At 39.3% G+C, this 18,067-nt stretch overlaps 1 protein-coding gene across 4 annotated transcripts in view; it reads right to left on the bottom strand.

Annotated features, from left to right (window-relative positions):
- Positions 1-18,067, bottom strand: part of FLVCR1 (FLVCR choline and heme transporter 1) — a 41,089-nt gene that overhangs the window by 7,632 nt on the left and 15,390 nt on the right. For 2 of the 4 annotated variants that reach the window (XR_247024.4, NM_014053.4), the window contains exons 4-8: positions 8,294-8,361; positions 6,336-6,439; positions 3,731-3,841; positions 3,138-3,243; positions 2,475-2,586 (exon numbers count right to left, since the gene is read on the bottom strand). Coding sequence is in view for 1 of the 4 variants with exons in the window: in NM_014053.4 (NP_054772.1) it covers positions 2,475-2,586; positions 3,138-3,243; positions 3,731-3,841; positions 6,336-6,439; positions 8,294-8,361 (501 nt within the window). In the remaining 3 variants the exon portion in view is untranslated. Of the gene's footprint in view, positions 1-2,474; positions 2,587-3,137; positions 3,244-3,730; positions 3,842-6,335; positions 6,440-8,293; positions 8,362-18,067 lie in introns of those variants that run through there. The other 2 variants (XR_007059232.1, XR_426771.2) reach the window with 2 other exon arrangements.

Below are 18,067 nucleotides of genomic sequence, written 5' to 3'. Positions count from 1 at the left end.
TTTACTACTCTTCCTTTTGCTTAAACACCTGGAGGCCACTGTAGGGGTAATAATTTGGGGGTATTAATCAGGGCCCTGATTTCAATATTGTTGTGCCTCAGGGAATACCATTTGAGATGGTAAAAGCATCAATGTAAAACTAATTTTAAAGATCTATTTTCACTTCTTAATTTTCTAGACTTGATTTGTTTGAATTAGTATTCATGAATCTCTTGTAAAAGTAATTTGAAGGAGGATTACAAAACTGCTCCCTTCTTTGGTATAACAATAATACTGTTTTTTTTTTTGAGACGGAGTCTCACTTTGTCACCCAGGCTGGAGTGGTGGTGTGATCTTCACCACTCACTGCAACCTCCGCCTCCCGGATTCAAGCAATTCTTCTGCCTCAGCCTCCCAGATTCAAGCAATTCTTCTGCCTCAGCCTCCCAAGTAGCTGAGATTACAGGTGTGTGCCCATAAAACTGGCTAAAGTTTTTTGTATTTTTAGTAGAGACACGGTTTCACTATGTTGGTCAGGCTGGTCTTGAACTCCTGACATCAAATGATCCACCTGTATCAGCCTCCCAAAGTGCTAGGAATACAAGTATGAGCCACCACGTCCAGCCAATAGTAATAATCTTAGATAAGATATAGTACTTGCCTAGGAATTAAGAACCAACATGGAATTACTTATGAAAGAACAATAGTTAAAGCAGTTAATGTATTACATATTTCACAGTTTTGTATGTTTTATTTTACTAACTGGACAGGGGGAAAAACTCCCTGTGATAAGATGTTTTTCTTTGAGGAAACAGAGTGCATTCACTTTCTTTTAGCTTCGTGAATGAATGCTCAGGTTCCTATCATTCATACAATTGAGTGAGCGACCTTAGGTAGTTGTGTATATCCAAAATGTCTATCACTGGTGAGATTTCATATTGAAGGTTTCACAAAGAATGATCAGGTATTCCACAAACAGTAGAAGAAATTCTGATTCACATCCTTCTGATAGATTCTCCAACTAAGTTATAACCAGATCCTCCAACTAAGTTATAACCAGATCAACGAAGCACAACCTCCCTTGGTATCTGCGGGGGATTGATTCCAAGACCCCACCTCAGATACCAAAATCCACGAATGCTCAAGGCCTTTATATGAAATGGTGTAGTATAAGCTTGTTCAACCTGTGGTCTGCAGCCCATATGTGGCCCAGGACAGTTTTGAATGTGGCCTAACACAAACTCACAAATTTTTAAAAAACATTATGAGATTTTTTGCAATTTTTTTTTTTTAGCTCATTAGCTATCATTAGTATTAGAGTATTTCATGTGTGGCCCAAGATATTTCTTGTTCCAATGTGGTCCAGAGAAGCCAAAAGATTGGACGCCCCTGGGAAGTATTTACATATAACGTACACACATCCTCCTATGTACTTAAACCATCTCTAGATTACTAATACCTAATACAATGTAAATAGCTGTTATACTATAATGTTTAGGGAATGATGACATTTTAAAAGTATGCACCTGGAAAAAGTTCTGCTTCCAAATCTATTGTACACCCATGTGCATGGGCAAACTATGGATAAAAATTCTCTGACATTCTCTTTCTCTGGAGATTGAGCACTATTTTCTTTCCTGCCCATGTCTATGATGACTATACCTAAGAAGTATAAGCACTAGCTAAGGATTCCACATACTATTTCCACCACTACCACTTGACTGCTTACCATCTCTACCACATTATAACAATAGTAACACATGTTAGGCACGTCCCAGGTGCCAGACACTAGGAACTTTTCATGAACCATTTCAATTAATCCTCACAGTAACCCTATAAAGCAGGCTTTAACACTCTATTATATAAATAAGGAAAGGAGGATTTGAGAGGTTAAGCAACGGGTCTAAAGTCACACTCCCACTGAGCAACAGAATCGGAATTTGAGGCCAGGTCTTCCCAACTCCAGGTCTTTACTACTCTTTTTTTTTTTTTTTTTTGAGACAGAGTCTCGCTGTTGCCCAAGCTAGAGTGCACTCGTGTGATCTTGGCTCACTGCAACCTCTGTCTCCTGGGTTCAAGCAATTTTCCTGCCTCAGCCTCCCAAGTAGCTGGGGCTACACGTGTGCGCCACCACAACTGGCTAATTTTAGTAGAGACGGGGTTTCGCCATGTTGGCTAGGCTGGTCTCAAACTCCTCACCTCAAGTAATCTGCCCGCCTCTGCCTCCCAAAGTGCTGGGATTACAGGCATGAGCCAACACACCCAGCCTTTACTACTCTTATTATAACAGTTTTGCTTGCTATGCAGAGTAACTGTATTGAATTTGAAATCTGCAAAATGAAGTAAGAGATTCATGTCTTTAGAAGAAAACAAATAATGTCCTGCTTTTTATCTCATTTTTTTCCCCTTGAGTTCTGTCAAGCTATTGAGAAGCAATATATATGAAAATTAACACATGACACAAGTCCTTTTGCCAGGCAAACGCCCTAATTTACCTGTTAATATGATGCCTATAAACATCCAGACACAGAGAAAAATGTTCCCTGCCTTAGGACCATAGTCTGATGTGAGCTTTCCTTGAGCCAATGTGAACAAAATTCCAAATATCTAAAATACAATAAGAAAAATCATTCGTTATTAAGTTAAATTATTTAAAGCAAGTATAAAGTTTTCACCAGAACTTTTCTTATTTTGGTTATATGATTTGGTTTCTAGAAACATTCATTGAAAAGTTGAATTGTTAAAACAAAAACCACGGTCAGGCTGGGTGCAGTGGCTCACACCCACTGTAATCCTAGCACTTTGGGAGTTGAGGTAGGCGAATTGCTTGAGCCCAGGAGTCCGAGACCAGCCTGGACAACATGGCAAAACACCATCTCTACAAAAAATAACAAAAAAAATTTAGCTGGGCATGCTGGTGTGCACCTGCAGTCCCAAAAACTCTGGAGGCAGAGGGGGGAGGATTGCTTGAGCCTAGGAGTTTGAGGCTATAGTTAGCCATGACTGCACTACTGCACTCCAGCTTGGATGGCTGAGCAAGACTCTGTCTCCAAAAAACAAAACAACAACAACAACAAATAAAACCATGGTCAAACTCATTACTCACTAGAATATCTGGTATAATAATCATCTCAGGTTTAGAGAAATCAGAGGTTTACCTGTGCAGAAGCATTAAGAAGACCAGATGAAGTACCTTCAGATTCAGGGTAAGTGATTTCAACAGCAAATTCAAAACCCAAAGGGAGGTAACCAGTCATGAAGAAGCTAGGAAAATAAATCCAGAATTACAGAAAGAACTACCAGAAAGTCACAATCACATACTGATGCAATCATTCTGCCTCTCGGGCTTATTCTAATGACCAAATAAGTGAATATTTTGAAGTTGCTATGTCAAAGTAAGGAACTATTATCATTGACCAATCAGCTCAAGGTTACAGAACTGGAAGCAACAAATACACATTTTTTTCTGAGAAAAATTTACTTCTAGTTTTATAAGTTGATTGTAACCAAATAAAGTTACACAGATTAAGTAAGGCTCATCCATTTTTTACCTATGGTATACCAAAAACCAATTTTAAATAATTTTTAATAGTTCTTAAGAATTACATGTTTATATGCATAGAATGAATCCTTTAAAGTTTAAAATATTGAAGAAACTTTGGATGAACTGAAAAAATTAAAGACCAGAGTAATAATACTTCAGAATTATAACAGCATGCTATCATTCCTCCTAAACACATCTGATACTTACCCAAGCACCCCTCCAGTAACAAACACGATGATAATATATCTAAGGTCCAATGTGAAAGTAAAGATAACCATTCCAATAAAAGACAAAATATAAACTATCAGAGTAGTCTGTCTAAAACAAAAACAACAAAGCTGTTAGTATTTTGTCTGATTCTCCTAGGAATACAAAAATCATCACTCTTACCTGTTCAGTAATGAATCTTTGTTTTTCAAAGTTCACCCCTTCTTGTCCATGGAAATATGTATCCACCAAAGCACAAATTTTAAAGCATTTTTAATTTAAGATTCAGCAGCACCAGAAAACCACACCATATCGAATGCTCAGATAGGATCCTTTTATAGGAATAAAATCATTTTTATGCCACCAAATGGGATAGTTCCCTATTCACATTTCAAGATTCAGATCAAATTCTACCTCTTCCAAATGCCTTCTGTAACGACACCAGTTTATAAGAGTCTCTCTTTCTTCCAAATTCCCTTATCATACTGGCACTATAAAACTTATGACATCTATTTTAGTTTGTTATATTATTTAACTTTTCACATGTGAATGCCTTATTTGCTCCATTTAGACCACAAACATCTTAAGAACAGGGATCACATAATGCCAGCCATAATTTTCATCTAAGAAAGATGCACACAACAGGAGTTTGGTGAATGAATGGCAGTTACCCTGAGAAGGAAGCCACAGTGGCAAAGAACACACATCTATGCCTATCAAGTTTTCTAAATGTATAACGGATGAAAGACTTAAGAAATATAATCCTTTACATATGCTCCCTTCATCTATATATCAAGTAGGTTTCACTCTAAGCTATCATTTTAAAATAATGAAGCTAAGGCAAGTGCTGTCTTAAATTATGGAAGAATATGGAGAATTTCAAGATTAGAGATACTTTTGGTAGCGTTTAGACTAATAATATCAAATATATCTTGAGCCTTGAAAGGTACACGGGACACAGTTCCATATTTCATTCATTTATTCCTTAATAGTTTCATTCATTCATTTCCAAGTACAGGGGTAAGTTTTGGCATGTTACAAAATGTGGTGATTCTTTTCACTCCCAGAGCAAAATATGCTGCCTCTGAAACCCCTTTCTTAGTCTCCCAGTTGGTATCATTCATTTTCTTTGGTATTAGCCTTTTGGTGGTTCCATATAATGTACAATTAACAGAGTATATTCTTTTTTTTTTATTTTTTTAGACAGCGTCTTGCTCTGTCACCCAGGCTGGAGACCAGTGGCACGCTATCTCAGCTCGCTGCAACCTCTGCCTCCTGGGTTCAAGCAATTCTCCTTCCTTAGCCTCCTGAGTAGCTGGGATTACAGGTGCCCACCACCACACTTGACTATTTTTTGTATTTTCAGTAGAGATGGCGTTTCACCATGTTGCCCAAGCTGGTCTCGAACTCCTGGCCTCAAGCAATCTACCCGCCTTGGCCTCCCAAAATGCTGGGATTACAGGCATAAGACATTGTGTCAAACCAGCATTTTCACATTATGCATTATATTACAGTTAAGTGGTACTGTAGTCTGGGCGTACTTTAGCCAAAAAGTTCTTACCAAAATAAAGCCTTATGCTCAACAATAATTTTTTGATTGGAAAGAACTACTTTTTTGTTTTTGTATTTAAGCCCACAACATAAAAAAAGAACAACATAGGCCAGGTGCAGTGGCTCATGCCTGTAATCCCAGCACTTTGGGAGGCTGAGGTGGGCAGATTGCCTGACCTCAGGAGTTCAAAATCAGCCTGGGCAACATGGTGAAACACTGTCTCTATCAAAAAGTCAAAAAATTAGCCGGGTGTGGTGGCGCACACCTGTGGTCACAGCTACTCAGGAGGCTGAGGTGGGAGAATCACTTGAGCCTGGAAAGCAGAAGTTGCAGTGAGCCAAGATGGTGCCACTGCACTCCAGCCTGGGTGACAGAGTGAGACCCCACCTAAAAAAAAAAAAAAAAAAGAACAAGATAAAGTCTATCAAAAGTCAAATATTTCTCAGAAATGGCTCTTTTTAGAATAGAAATAATTCCTTCGGAAGTGGTAGGTATGAGTACTGTTAGAAAGAAGGGGCTCATAAGGTATCCAAGTTCTCAGAATTGAAATAAATGTGACCAATAAAATAATACAATACATAGAGTATTGAAACACTTGTTGCTGGGCGCGGTGGCTCACGCCTGTAATCCCAGCACTTTGGGAGGTCGAGGCGGGTGGATCACAAGGTCAGGAGATCGAGACCATCCTGGCTAACAAGGTGAAACCCCGTCTCTACTAAAAATATAAAAAAATTAGCCGGACATGGTGGCGGGTGCCTGTAGTCCCAGCTACTCGGGAGGCTGAGGCAGGAAAATGGCGTGAAGCCGGGAGACAGAGGTTGCAGTGAGCCGAGATTGCGCCACTGCACTCTAGCCTGGGCGACAGAACGAGACTCCGTCTCAAAAAAAAAAAAAAAAAAGAAACACTTGTTAAGTGAAGAGAACCTACTAGTGTTTAGAATCCGTATCTTTAAGTAATAACATGTTTTAAATTTCTTGAAATAAAAAGCAAATTGTCCTTTAAAATCAAAATACCTTTGGTTATACACCATACATGTATTTACTTTCACTTACTTGTATGTTTTAGTATAATCCAGCCATAAGCCACAAAGAATAGAGCCCACCATTCCAGCTACTACTAGCGTTAGCCCAATCCTTCCAGCATTGACTTCTTCTCCCTGAAAAAAATTTGCGTAAGAAGTTGATCAAATAAATGGATTAACTAATTCAGACTCTTCACATTCCCACACCTTTTCATAGTCAATGAAAATAATTAGATAAAACTAAGCACACAGTAGGAAGATTTAGTACATGTGTCAGTGTGGGAGGGGAGGGCAGGTAAAGAATATATAAAAGCATTATATTTTAAAACCAGAAAAAAAGCCTAAAATAATAGAAGAAATAAAAAAGGTAAATTTTCCTTAATCCTCTATGGTTAGAAGTACAATGATTTTTGTTAGGATTCTTAAGTATAGATAGTCATGTGCTCCATAATTACATTTAGGTCAACTCTGAATCATATATACAGTATGATCCTGTAAGATTATAATACTGTATTTTTATTCTACCTTCTCTGTTTAGATATATTTAGATACACAATACTTACCATTGTATTACAACTGCCTACAACATTCAGTAGCATAACATGTTATACAGGTTTGTAGCCTAGGAGCAATAGGCTATACCACGTAGCCTAGGTATGTAGCAGGCTCTACCATCAGGTTTGCGTAAGTACACTCTATGATATTCACACAACAATGAAATTGCCTAGCGAATTTCTCAGAAGGTATTCCTGTCACTAAGCAAGGTATGACACTGTATAGATATCTGAAAAGGAGGTTAATCGATAGCTTTTACATAGTACAACTGCTTTATCCTTTCAAAAGCAGATACGTCAATCAAAACTTGATATTTATTTATCTATATTTATGCTGAGTTCCCTTAAAATGTTTTGTCTTTTTCCATATAACCAATCATATTATTTCCTAAAAATAAACTTAGGTATTGTCACAGGGATAGTAACTTCTGCTTTCCATATTGTGTGTGTGTGTATTTTGTTTTGTTTCGTTTTTTTGAGATGGAGTCTCACTCTGTCACTAGGCTGGAGTACAGTGGCGCTATCTTGGCTGGGATTACAGGTGTGAGCCACGGCGCCCAGCCTGTTTTTTTTTTAAATGGGGATTCACTCTTATTGCCCAGGATGGAATACAATGGCACGATCTCGGCTCACCGCCACCTCCACCTCCCAGGCTCAAGTGTTTCTCCTGCCTCAGCCTCCCGAATAGCTGGAATTACAGGCATGCGCCACCATGCCCAGCTAATTTTGTATTTTTGGTAGAGACAGGGTTTCTCCATGTCGGTCAGGCTGGTCTCGACCTCAGGTGATCCACCCGCCTCGGCCTTCCAAAGTGCTGGGATTACAGGCGTGAGCCACTATGCCTGGCCATACTATGTGCTTTATAAACTGGATTAAATATGTTAAATTAAAATGATGGGAGGCCATTGTTTTGGAGTGAGCTCCCACAGTAGGCCCAACAGACCAGACCACATAGAATGGTGTCACTAGTGCTAGGTGTCACATAATCAAACTGAACTTTAAAATGGGCCACTTTTCCAAAAAAAAAAAAAAAAGGAGATTCATAGCAACCTATCAGATGGGGCCCAGTCCCCTTTGTTTTACTCCTATAAGGAAAGTAACTTTGTAGCAACCAATCTGCTCTTTGTTCCTTGTTTCTGCTTTCTTCAGCCTTTTTCTGCCTATAAAGCCCATCTCCTCTGCTCAGCTCATCAGTACCTTTCTAAATCTTTAGATGGGATGCTGTCCAATAAACGAATTGATAATAAAAGCCAATTAGATATATAAAGTTGTGGAAATTTCATTTTTTAACAAATATATTCTCAATTAAAACAAATGTAAATATTTGATAGCAACAATGTCATAACCCTTAATCTCATGACCCTGCTAACGACAATTATATTGCTAAAGAAAAATTTTTGGCCAGGCATGCAATCTGATATAAGCAGAAGCTTACCTCATAATATGTCAATATCATTTGATTTAATAACGTTGAGACTGAATAAAAGGCACCAGTCATGATACCTACAATAATAAATAAAGATGATATTAAGTCATGATACCTACAATAATAAAGAGAATACTAAAAGTGTGTCATTTACCAGTTCATGAAGTGACATGGAATATTATGTGACAATTGTGGAAATACATTTCTTAACACAGTTGATAAAGGAAATTAAAAACCATTGTCATTCCCTTTCAGAACCTGGACTAATGAATTTAACACCTAACTGTACTAAAGATGTAATAGCAGAACTCTGTCCTAATACTATTATTATTTAGATTGAGATATACTGACCATAAATCATACCCCCACATGCAACACATATATGGCAACCAGTCAAGCAATGGATTGTTTACTGAATTCCTACAATGTACTACTACAGCCAACAAATGTGCAAAGCCTAACAGAAACTGTGCTTCAGAGATCTTACCTTTTTGTATCAAAGACTTACTGAAAATTCATAAGACAAAATCAGTTAATACTTTTTTTTTTGAGATGGAGCCTTGCTCTGTTGCCCAGGCTGGAGAGTAGTGGTGCAATCTCAGCTCACTACAACCTCCGTCTCCTGGGTTCAAGCAATTCTACTGCCTCGCCTCCCAAAGGATACTTTAGAAGTGAACAATAAAAACAACTGGCTATGAGAAGCACAGGATAGGTTTGAATCCTGATGTCTCCTAGCATGTATTGTATGAATTTAGGTAAGACTCTTAACCTAAATTAAGCTAAAACTTAAGTTTATTATTTATCTATTATTAAATATTTTAAGAATATAAAATAGCATAGAGAATACAACAAATATCCTCATATATCACCCGGATTTGGCAAACATTAACATTTTTCCATCTTTGCTTCAGATTCATTTTTCAGACTTTTCCCAATCCTATTCTTTACCAAAGTCAAGCCCTAGCTTGAGCTTGGTGCTTATCATTTTATATATTACCATATATGCATATTCATAAACAATTAGAAGTATTCTGTAAGTATATAAATATTATTTGTATCCATCTGCAACTTGCTCTTGTTACACTATATTGAGATGGTTTTGAGATGTATCCATGTTGATATTTTTTGTTGTAGTTCATTAGTTTTCTGTTGTACAGTATTCTATTATGTTAATATACTTCAATTTAATTATCTCGTCCTGTCAATAGACACTTAAGGGTTTCTTTTTTAGTTTTTCACTGTTTAAAACAAGACTGCAATGAGTATTATGTTTTTGTTCTTATACATAAGAGCTTCTCTAAGTATATATCTAGAGTAGACCTTCTACTTTCTAGATATAAGCAATTTGCTCTTCAAAGTAGTTGTTATCCGTTCATACTACCAGCAGAGTTCCTACTGCTCCACATCCTTGCCAAATTTGTTTTCACCAGATTTTAAATTATTTTGCCAATGTGAATGTGTGTGATATTACATCTTACTCTGGCTTTGATTTGTATTTCCTTGATTACTGTTAAGGCTGAATATCACATAAGAACAATACACACAGACACAGACACACAAATGTCTTCTGGTGTCCTTGGATTGTTTGCTCTTTCTGATTTGTAGGAGTTATTTTTAACTAATACTAATCCTTTGTTGGTTATATGCATTGCAGACAATTTTCTCATAGTCTAAGTCCTGTCTTTTCCCTTTTTCAATAATGTCTTCCTAGAAAAGATTATTTTAATATAATCATATTTATCAATATACTTCTTTAGGGTTTATGTTTTTTGCATTAAGAAATTCTTGGCTGGGCGCAGTGGCTCACGCGTGTAATCCCAACACTTTGGGAGGCTGAGGCAGGTGGATCACGAGGTCAGGAGTTCGACACCAGTCTGGCCAAGGAGTTCGTGACCAGTCTGGCCAACATGGTGAAACCCCGTCTCTACTAAAAATACAAAAATTAGCCAGGCGCAGTGGTGTGCGCCTGTAGTCCCAGCTACTGGGGAGGTTGAGGCAGGAGAATTGCTTGAATCCGGGAGGTGGAGGTTGCAGTGAGCCGAGATTGTGCCACTGCACTCCAGCCTGGGTGACAGAGCGAGACTCTGTCTCAAAAAAAAAGAAATTCGACAGAGTGAGACTCTGTCTCAAAAAAAAAAAAAAAAAAGACAAAGAAATTCTTTGGGAATACTAAAGATGGTCTCCTATATTTGTTCCTAAAACTTTAAAGTTCTTATTTTTACTCTTTGGTCTCTACTATAATTCATTTTTATGCATGGTATGATGTAGAGTTCTAATTTTAGTTTATTTTTCCCATATGGACAATCAATTATCCTGGGACAATTTACCAAACAGTTCCTCTTCTGCAAAACCTCAAGTTTTCCTATATGTATAATGTACTAGTTATTAGAGCAGTTTGCAAATATTCTAGTTTTTATTTTTCTAGGCATGGCAACATGACTTTAAATATAAGCAAAGGTGACATTCCCTGTTTTCTGCCTTAGTAATCATGGAAGCATTTACAGAGATGTCAGGCTGTATCCTTGAGTAACTTTGATGAGCAGAAACTAGCTGTCAATTCACACTGGACATGCAGTTTTAGCAAGAAATAAACTTTTCATGTTTCAGGCCACTGAAGTTTTTTAGCAGGACTTCTTTTTTTTTTTTTTTTTTAATAAAGAGTCTCACTCTGTTGCTCAGGATGGAGTGAAATAGCAGTTTCGGCTCACTGCAACCTCCATCTGCCAGGCTCAAGTGATTCTCCTGCCTCAGCCTCCTGAGTAGCTGGGATTACAGGTGCCCACCAACACACCTGGCTAATTTTTGTATTTTTATTAGAGACCGGGTTTCACCATGTTGGCCACACTGGTCTTGAATTCCTGACCTCAGGTGATCTGCCTGCCTTGTCCTACCAAAGTGCTGGAATTACAGGCATGTGCCACTGCACCTGGCCAGCAGGATTAATATAAGCTAGCCTAGGTCAAGTGACACCCAAGGTAGGTCTCTGGGCTCTCTATTCTGTTCCAGTGATCTGATGTCTATCCCTTACTCATGGCATCTTAATTACCATAGATTTATAAATTTTGATAACTAAGAATGAGTCCCTCACCATGTTCTTCATCAAAATTATCTTTGCTGTTCTTGGCCCTTACTTCACTCACAGGAATTTTTACAGTTGGTTTGTTCCATTACAATCCCTGTTTAAACTGGCGATTAAAGGATGAGACCTATAGCTCGTCTAAAAACTTGTTAACAACACTTATCAAAAACACCTGGGTAACTGGCCTTTGTTATTCAACTTCCCACTGAGCTCAAGAATGCACGTGGACCACGCTGGGTTAGCCTGCGGAAGATGAGGATAACAAATGAGGCCTGTGCTCAGGCCTGAGTGTACTCTACTGCACTGCACCCTATGGTGATTTTGAATCTAATACATACTGAAATAAGGATAGCAAAAATTTGGATGAAGAATTATAACAGCCAAAAAAAAAAAATACTATGTTATCTGAACCTAGAGTATGGTATCTAAGTTTCAGAGAGCAAACAGCAACAGTTGGGATAGTAAGGAATCATCTTTTCTCCAAATAGTGCAACCTCAAAAAAAAAAAATTTGGCCGGGTGTGGTGGCTCATGCCTGTAATCCCAGCACTTTGGGAGGCCAAGGTGGATGGATCACATGAGGTCAGGAGTTTGAGACCAGCCTGGGCAACATGGCAAAACCCCATTTCTACTAAAAATACAAAAAATTAGCTGGGCATAGTAGTGCGTCCCTGTAGTCTCAACTACTCCGGAGCCAGAGGCATAAGAATTGCTTGAACCCAGGAGGTGAAGGCTGCAGTGAGCAGAGATCACACCACTACACTCCAGCTTGGTCAACAGAGTCTATAAAGACATCTATTTATATTATAGACTTTATTACCGATAATTTTTTTCCAAAAAAAATTTTATCTTAGTCCATTTGGGTCCTGAGTTTGGGACACTGCATATATGATCCCGAAGCTCTATTCTAGAAGTATTATTCCTTATCCAGAGTATCCCACAAGCAAGACTGCTCCAAGCTTATATATATCATATTAGGCACGGAGGGGGACAGGGACATGTCTAAAAGGTATGCTGTGACCCTCACGCAAACATTATGATCCCTAACTCTGGACCCCTTTGGTGAAGAACATGAAGTCGAGAAACTACTCGAACTTTATCAGAAAATACTGTTGAACTCTCCACAGTGTTTCCCAACTCCTTCCTCCTTATAATTCCTTCAACAAATAAACTCTTTAATTTCCTAAGCAGTTTCTGTATCTGGTTTTTAAAAAATCAATCCAAATCTACAACTGGCATTTGATAACACAGTGGTCCTGTAAGGATTAACTGGCATCCTTATAATCTTAAATCTTTTATAACATGGTATATCCCTCCATTTAAATTATTTAGGGGAGAGGTGGCTGGAGAAAAAATAAATTATTTAGGTCTTTTTTTTTTTGAGACAGGATCTCACTTTGTCACCCAGACTGCAGTACAGTGGCACAAACACAGCTCACTGCAGCCTTGACCTCCTGGGCTCAAGCAATCCTCCTATCTCAGCCCCACAACTAGCTGGGACTACAGGCACAGAACACCGTGTCTGGCTAATTTTTGTATTTTTTGTAGAGATGAGGTTTTGCCACATTGCCTAGGATGCAGGTCTCCCTTTATCCCTTTCAATGTTTTCTAATTTTCTCTATGAAGTTCTTTTGGTGTATTTATTCTAAGATATCTTTATAGTTTTAGTTGCTATTATAAAAGATATCTTTTCATAGGAATACAATACCTATATATACATAGGAATGCAATTGATATTTTCACATTGTCAGCTATTTAGTAACTTTGCTAACTCATTCTTATTAGTTTTAATAGTTGTCTCTAGGTTCTCTTGTATTTTTTTTTTTTTTTTTTTTTGAGACGGAGACTCACTCTGTCGCCCAGGCTGGAGTTGCAGTGGTGCGATCTCAGCTCACTGCAAGCGGACTTACTGCAAGTGCCTCTCACTGAGAGGCGGACCTCTCAGGTTCACGCCATTCTCCTGCCTCAGCCTCCCGAGTAGCTGGGACTACAGGCACCCACCACCATGCCCGGCTCATTTTTTGTATTTTTAGAAGAGACAGGGTTTCACCATGTTAGCCAGGATGGTCTCGATCTCCTGACCTCGTGATCCGCCCGCCTCGGCCTCCCAAAGTTCTTGGATTACAGGCCTGAGCCACCGCGCCTGGTCTCTCTTGTATTATTTTAATAGATGGGTGATCACTAAACATTTTCTGTAAAGGACCAGGTAGTAAACCTTTGTTAGCTTTGTAGGACATACGGTCTCTAATGTAACTAATGTCACTACTCAACTCTGCCCTGGTAGTTCAAAAGCAGCTATAGACAATATGTAGTCAAACAAAACTTTAATATAAAAACAGGCAATGTCCAGATTTGGCTCATGGGTCATGGTTTGCTGACCTCTGATATGCAGAATCATACTATGAGCAATAACACCTTTTTTTCTGTTTCGTATACCTTTTCTTCTTTCTTGTGTTACTGAGCCAGCCAGGACCTCCAGTTAGATGTTGAACAGAAGTGATGACAATAAATATCCTTAAGGATACTTCTTATTGATTCTTAAGGATAATGGCTCTAACTTTTGCCTTTAGTATAATATTTGCTATAGGGTCTTTGTAGATAAGCTTTATCAGGTTCAGAAAGTTCATTCATTGGCACCTAATTAAACTAAAGAGCTTCTGCACAGCAAAAAAAAAAAAAAAAACTATCATCAGAGTGAACAGACAACTTACAGAATGGGAGAAAATGTTTGCAATTTATCCACCTGACAAAGATCTAATTATCCAGAGTCTACAAGGAATTTAAATTTACAAGAAAAAAAAACCTCATTAAAAAGTGGGCAAAGAACATGAACAAACACTTCTCAAAAGACATTCATGGCCAGGCGCGGTGGCTCACGCCTGTAATCCCAGCACTTTGGGAGGCTGAGGCAGGCAGATCATGAGGTCAGGACATCGAGACCATCCTGGCTAACACGGTGAAACCCCGTCTCTACTAAAAATTACAAAAAATTAGCTGGGCGTGGTGGCGGGTGCCTGTAGTCCCAGCTACTCGGGAGGGAGTACTGATCATCTAATTGGGGAGATAATATAAACATCTATTGTTTATATTAAAATATAATATAAACAACAGGAGGCTGAGGCAGGAGAATGGTGTGAACCCGGGAGGCAGAGCTTGCAGTGAGCCAAGATCATGCCACTGCACTCCAGCCTGGGCGACAGAGCGAGACTCTCTCTCAAAAAAAAAAAAAAAAAAAAAAGACATTTATGTGGCCAAGAAACATGAAAAAAAAGCTCAACATCACTGATAATTAGAGAAATGCAAATCAAAACCACAATGAGATACCATTTCATGCCAGTCAGAATGACGATTATTAAAATGTCAAGAAACAACAGATGCTGGCAAGGTTGTGGAGAAAAAGGAACACTTTTACACTGCTGGAGGGAGTACAAATTAATTCAACCATTGTAGAAGACAGTGTGACAATTTCCAAGACATAGAAGGAGAAATACCATTTGACCCACCAATCCCATTACTGGGTACACACCCAAAGGAATATAAATCATTCTATTATAAAGATACATGCAAGTGTATGTTCACTGCAGCACTCTTCACAATAGCAAAGACACGGAATCAACCCAAATGCCCATCAATAATAGACTGGATAAAGAAAATGTGGTATGTTTACACCATGGAATACTATGCAGCCAAAAAGAAATGAGATCAGGCCGGGCGCAGTGGCTCACACCTGTAATCTTGGCACTTTGGGAGGCTGAGGCAGTGAATCACCTGAGGTCAGGAGTTCGAGACCAGCCTAGCCAACATGGTGAAACCCTGTCTCTACTAAAAATACAAAAATTAGCTGGACGTGTTGGCACTTGCCTGTAATCCCAGCTACTCGGGAGGCTGAGGCAGGAGAATCACCTGAACCTGGGAGGCGGAGGTTGCAGTGAGCCGAGATTGTGTGCACTCCAGCCTGGGCAATAGGAGTGAAACTCCATCTCAAAAAAAAAAAAAAGAAATGAGATCATGTCCTTTGCAGGGACATGGATGGAGCTGGAAGCAGTTATTCTCAGCAAACTAAGGCAAGAACAGAAAACCAACCACAACATGTTCTCACTTATAAGTGGGAGCGGAATGATGAGAACACATGGACACATGGTGCACGAGGGGTGGAAATAACACACATTGGGACCTTTGGGGTTTGGGGGAGGAAGAGCATCAGAAATAATAGCTAATGGATGCTAGGCTTAATACCTAGGTGATGCCTGAGGTCAGGAATTCGAGACCAACCTGGCTAATATGGCAAAACCCCATCTCTACTAAAAACACAAATATCAGCCAAGTGTGGTAGCACACACCTGTAGTCTCAGCTACTCGGGAAGCTGAGGCAGGAGAATTGCTTGAACCTGCGAGGTGGAGGTTGCAGTGAGCCAAGATCACGCCACTGCACTCCAGCCTGGGTGACAGACTGAGAGACCAATAAAACCGAGATTGCAATTAACTTAATCATTTTTATGTATAGTCAAGTTTTTTGTTTTTTTTTTTCTCAGATGGAGTCTTGCTCCGTCACCCAGGCTGGAGTGCAGTGGCACGATCTCAGCTTACTGCAACCTTTGCCTCCTGGGTTCAAGCGATTCTCCTGCCTCAGCCTCCCGAGTAGCTAGGACTATAGGTGCGCACCCACCATGCCCAGCTAATTTTTGTATTTTTAGTAAACATGGGGTTTTGCCACATTGGCCAGGCTGGTCTTGAACTGGCCTCAAGTGATCCACCCACCTTGGCCTCCCAAAGTGTTGGGATTACAGGAGTGAGCCACTGTGCCCAGCCCCAGTAAGTATTAAGTGATGTGGTATCAAAGACACCAAAACTCCACAGATACCTGAGTATTCACTGAAGGCACCATCTAACACCCTCGCTGGTGCCATTTTCTTCCTCCCCTTTGTCTATTCAAATCCAACCCTCTCTTCAAGGCCCAGCTCAACCACTCCCTTCTGTGAGACTCTCCCGGCCATCCCTAGGGCTTCCCTTCATTTATCCTTTCTCAATGATAGGCCTCAATGAAGGGCTTCAGCATGCACTTGCCATACAACTCATCTTGTGTTGTTATCCTTTTGATAAATACCGACTATATTGTTACTTTTCAGATGTTTATATTATCTCCCCAATTAGATGATCAATTTCCTATGGGCAGAAATCATATATCATGCCTCTTTCTAGCCACAAGGCATCTAGAGCACTACTATACATTTAGTTGGTATTTGATAGCTATTGATGGAATAAATAAATAAAAGAATGAACACGAAAATGAACAATAAGTGAGGCAAACATTAAGCCAGCTCTTATAGGATTGCTTACAGAAAAAAGAAGCACATTTCCGGTAAAAGAAATATTGGCACAAAATTACAGAGACTAGAATTAACAGTGTATATGCATGTGGAGATGTGTCTGTGTGTGTGTGTGTGTGTGTGTGTACGTCTGTGACAGGGTTGGTTATAAGTGTGGCTGAAAGAGAATTTTGTATTGGGAAAGTGAGTGATAAAAGAGTGATAAGAAAAAAGCCAGGCCGGATGCAGTGGCTCACGCCTGTAATCCCAACATTTTGGGAGGCCAAGGTAGGCAGATCACAAGGTCAGGAGTTTGAGACCAGCCTGGTCAACATGGTGAAACCCCGCCTCTACTAAAAAAACAAAAATTAGCTGGGCGTGGTGGCATGTGCCTGTAATCTCAGCTACTAGGGAGGCTGAAGCAGGAGAATTGCTTGAACCTGAGAGGTGGAGGTTGCAGTGAGCCGAGATCATACCACTGTCCTCCAACCTGGGTGACAGAGAGAAACTCCATCTCAAAAAAAAAAAAAAAAAAAAGAAAAAAAGAAAATTAAATGACAGGCAAAAGAAATGAATTTGCTCTACTATTTAACAATAAGCCACTATATTTTCTCTATATCTAATTAGGAATTTTAGGTTTAACCTAAACAAGGAGATAACCAGCAAAATTAAGAAAATGAACTATGTCATGCAAAAGTATTAATATATAAGGATGAGATATGGCACCTGGGATTTGCTTTAAAATATTCCAGGAAAGGCCGGGCATTTTGGCTCACGCCTGTAATCCCGCACTTTCGGAGGCCAAGGCGGGCAGATCACCTGTGGTCAGGAGTTTGAGACCAGCCTGGCCAACATGGTGAAACCCCTTCTCTACTAAAAATATGAAAAATTAGCCAGGCATGGTTGCAGGGGCCTGTAATCCCAGCTACTTGGGAGGCTGAGGCAGGAGAATTGCTTGAACCCGGGAGGCAGAGGTTGCAATGAGCTGAGATTGTGCCACTGCACTCCAGTCTGGGCAACAAGAGCAAAACTCCGTCTTAAAAAAATACATTCCAGGAAAAAAACTGGAGGAAATAGATGAAGCAAGAATGGCAAAATATTGATAACTGTTGAAGCTGGATGATGCCATACACAGGATATGGGTATATAGGAATTAGATTAAATGTTCAACTTTGGTGATTAGCAATTTCTACTGAAAAAAAAAGGAACTAATCCTGATAAAAATAGTTTAGGTCCGGACTTAATTGGTTACAACTTGTAAAACATTTATGTACTAGAGTGTGTTTCCCCAAAAAATGTGAAACAGAGAATAGCAGTGAGTGATTTCTGGAGGCAAGTAAGACAGAAATAGGGAGTGCTGGTGTTCATGTAAATGGTGTTAACACAAGAAACAAAGAAT

The sequence above is a fragment of the Homo sapiens genome, chromosome 1 (assembly GCF_000001405.40).
Source record: "Homo sapiens chromosome 1, GRCh38.p14 Primary Assembly".
NCBI classification, from domain to species: Eukaryota; Metazoa; Chordata; class Mammalia; order Primates; family Hominidae; genus Homo; species Homo sapiens.
The sequence above is the reverse complement of the archived record's forward strand: the minus strand, read 5'-3'. Positions and strand labels throughout refer to the sequence as shown.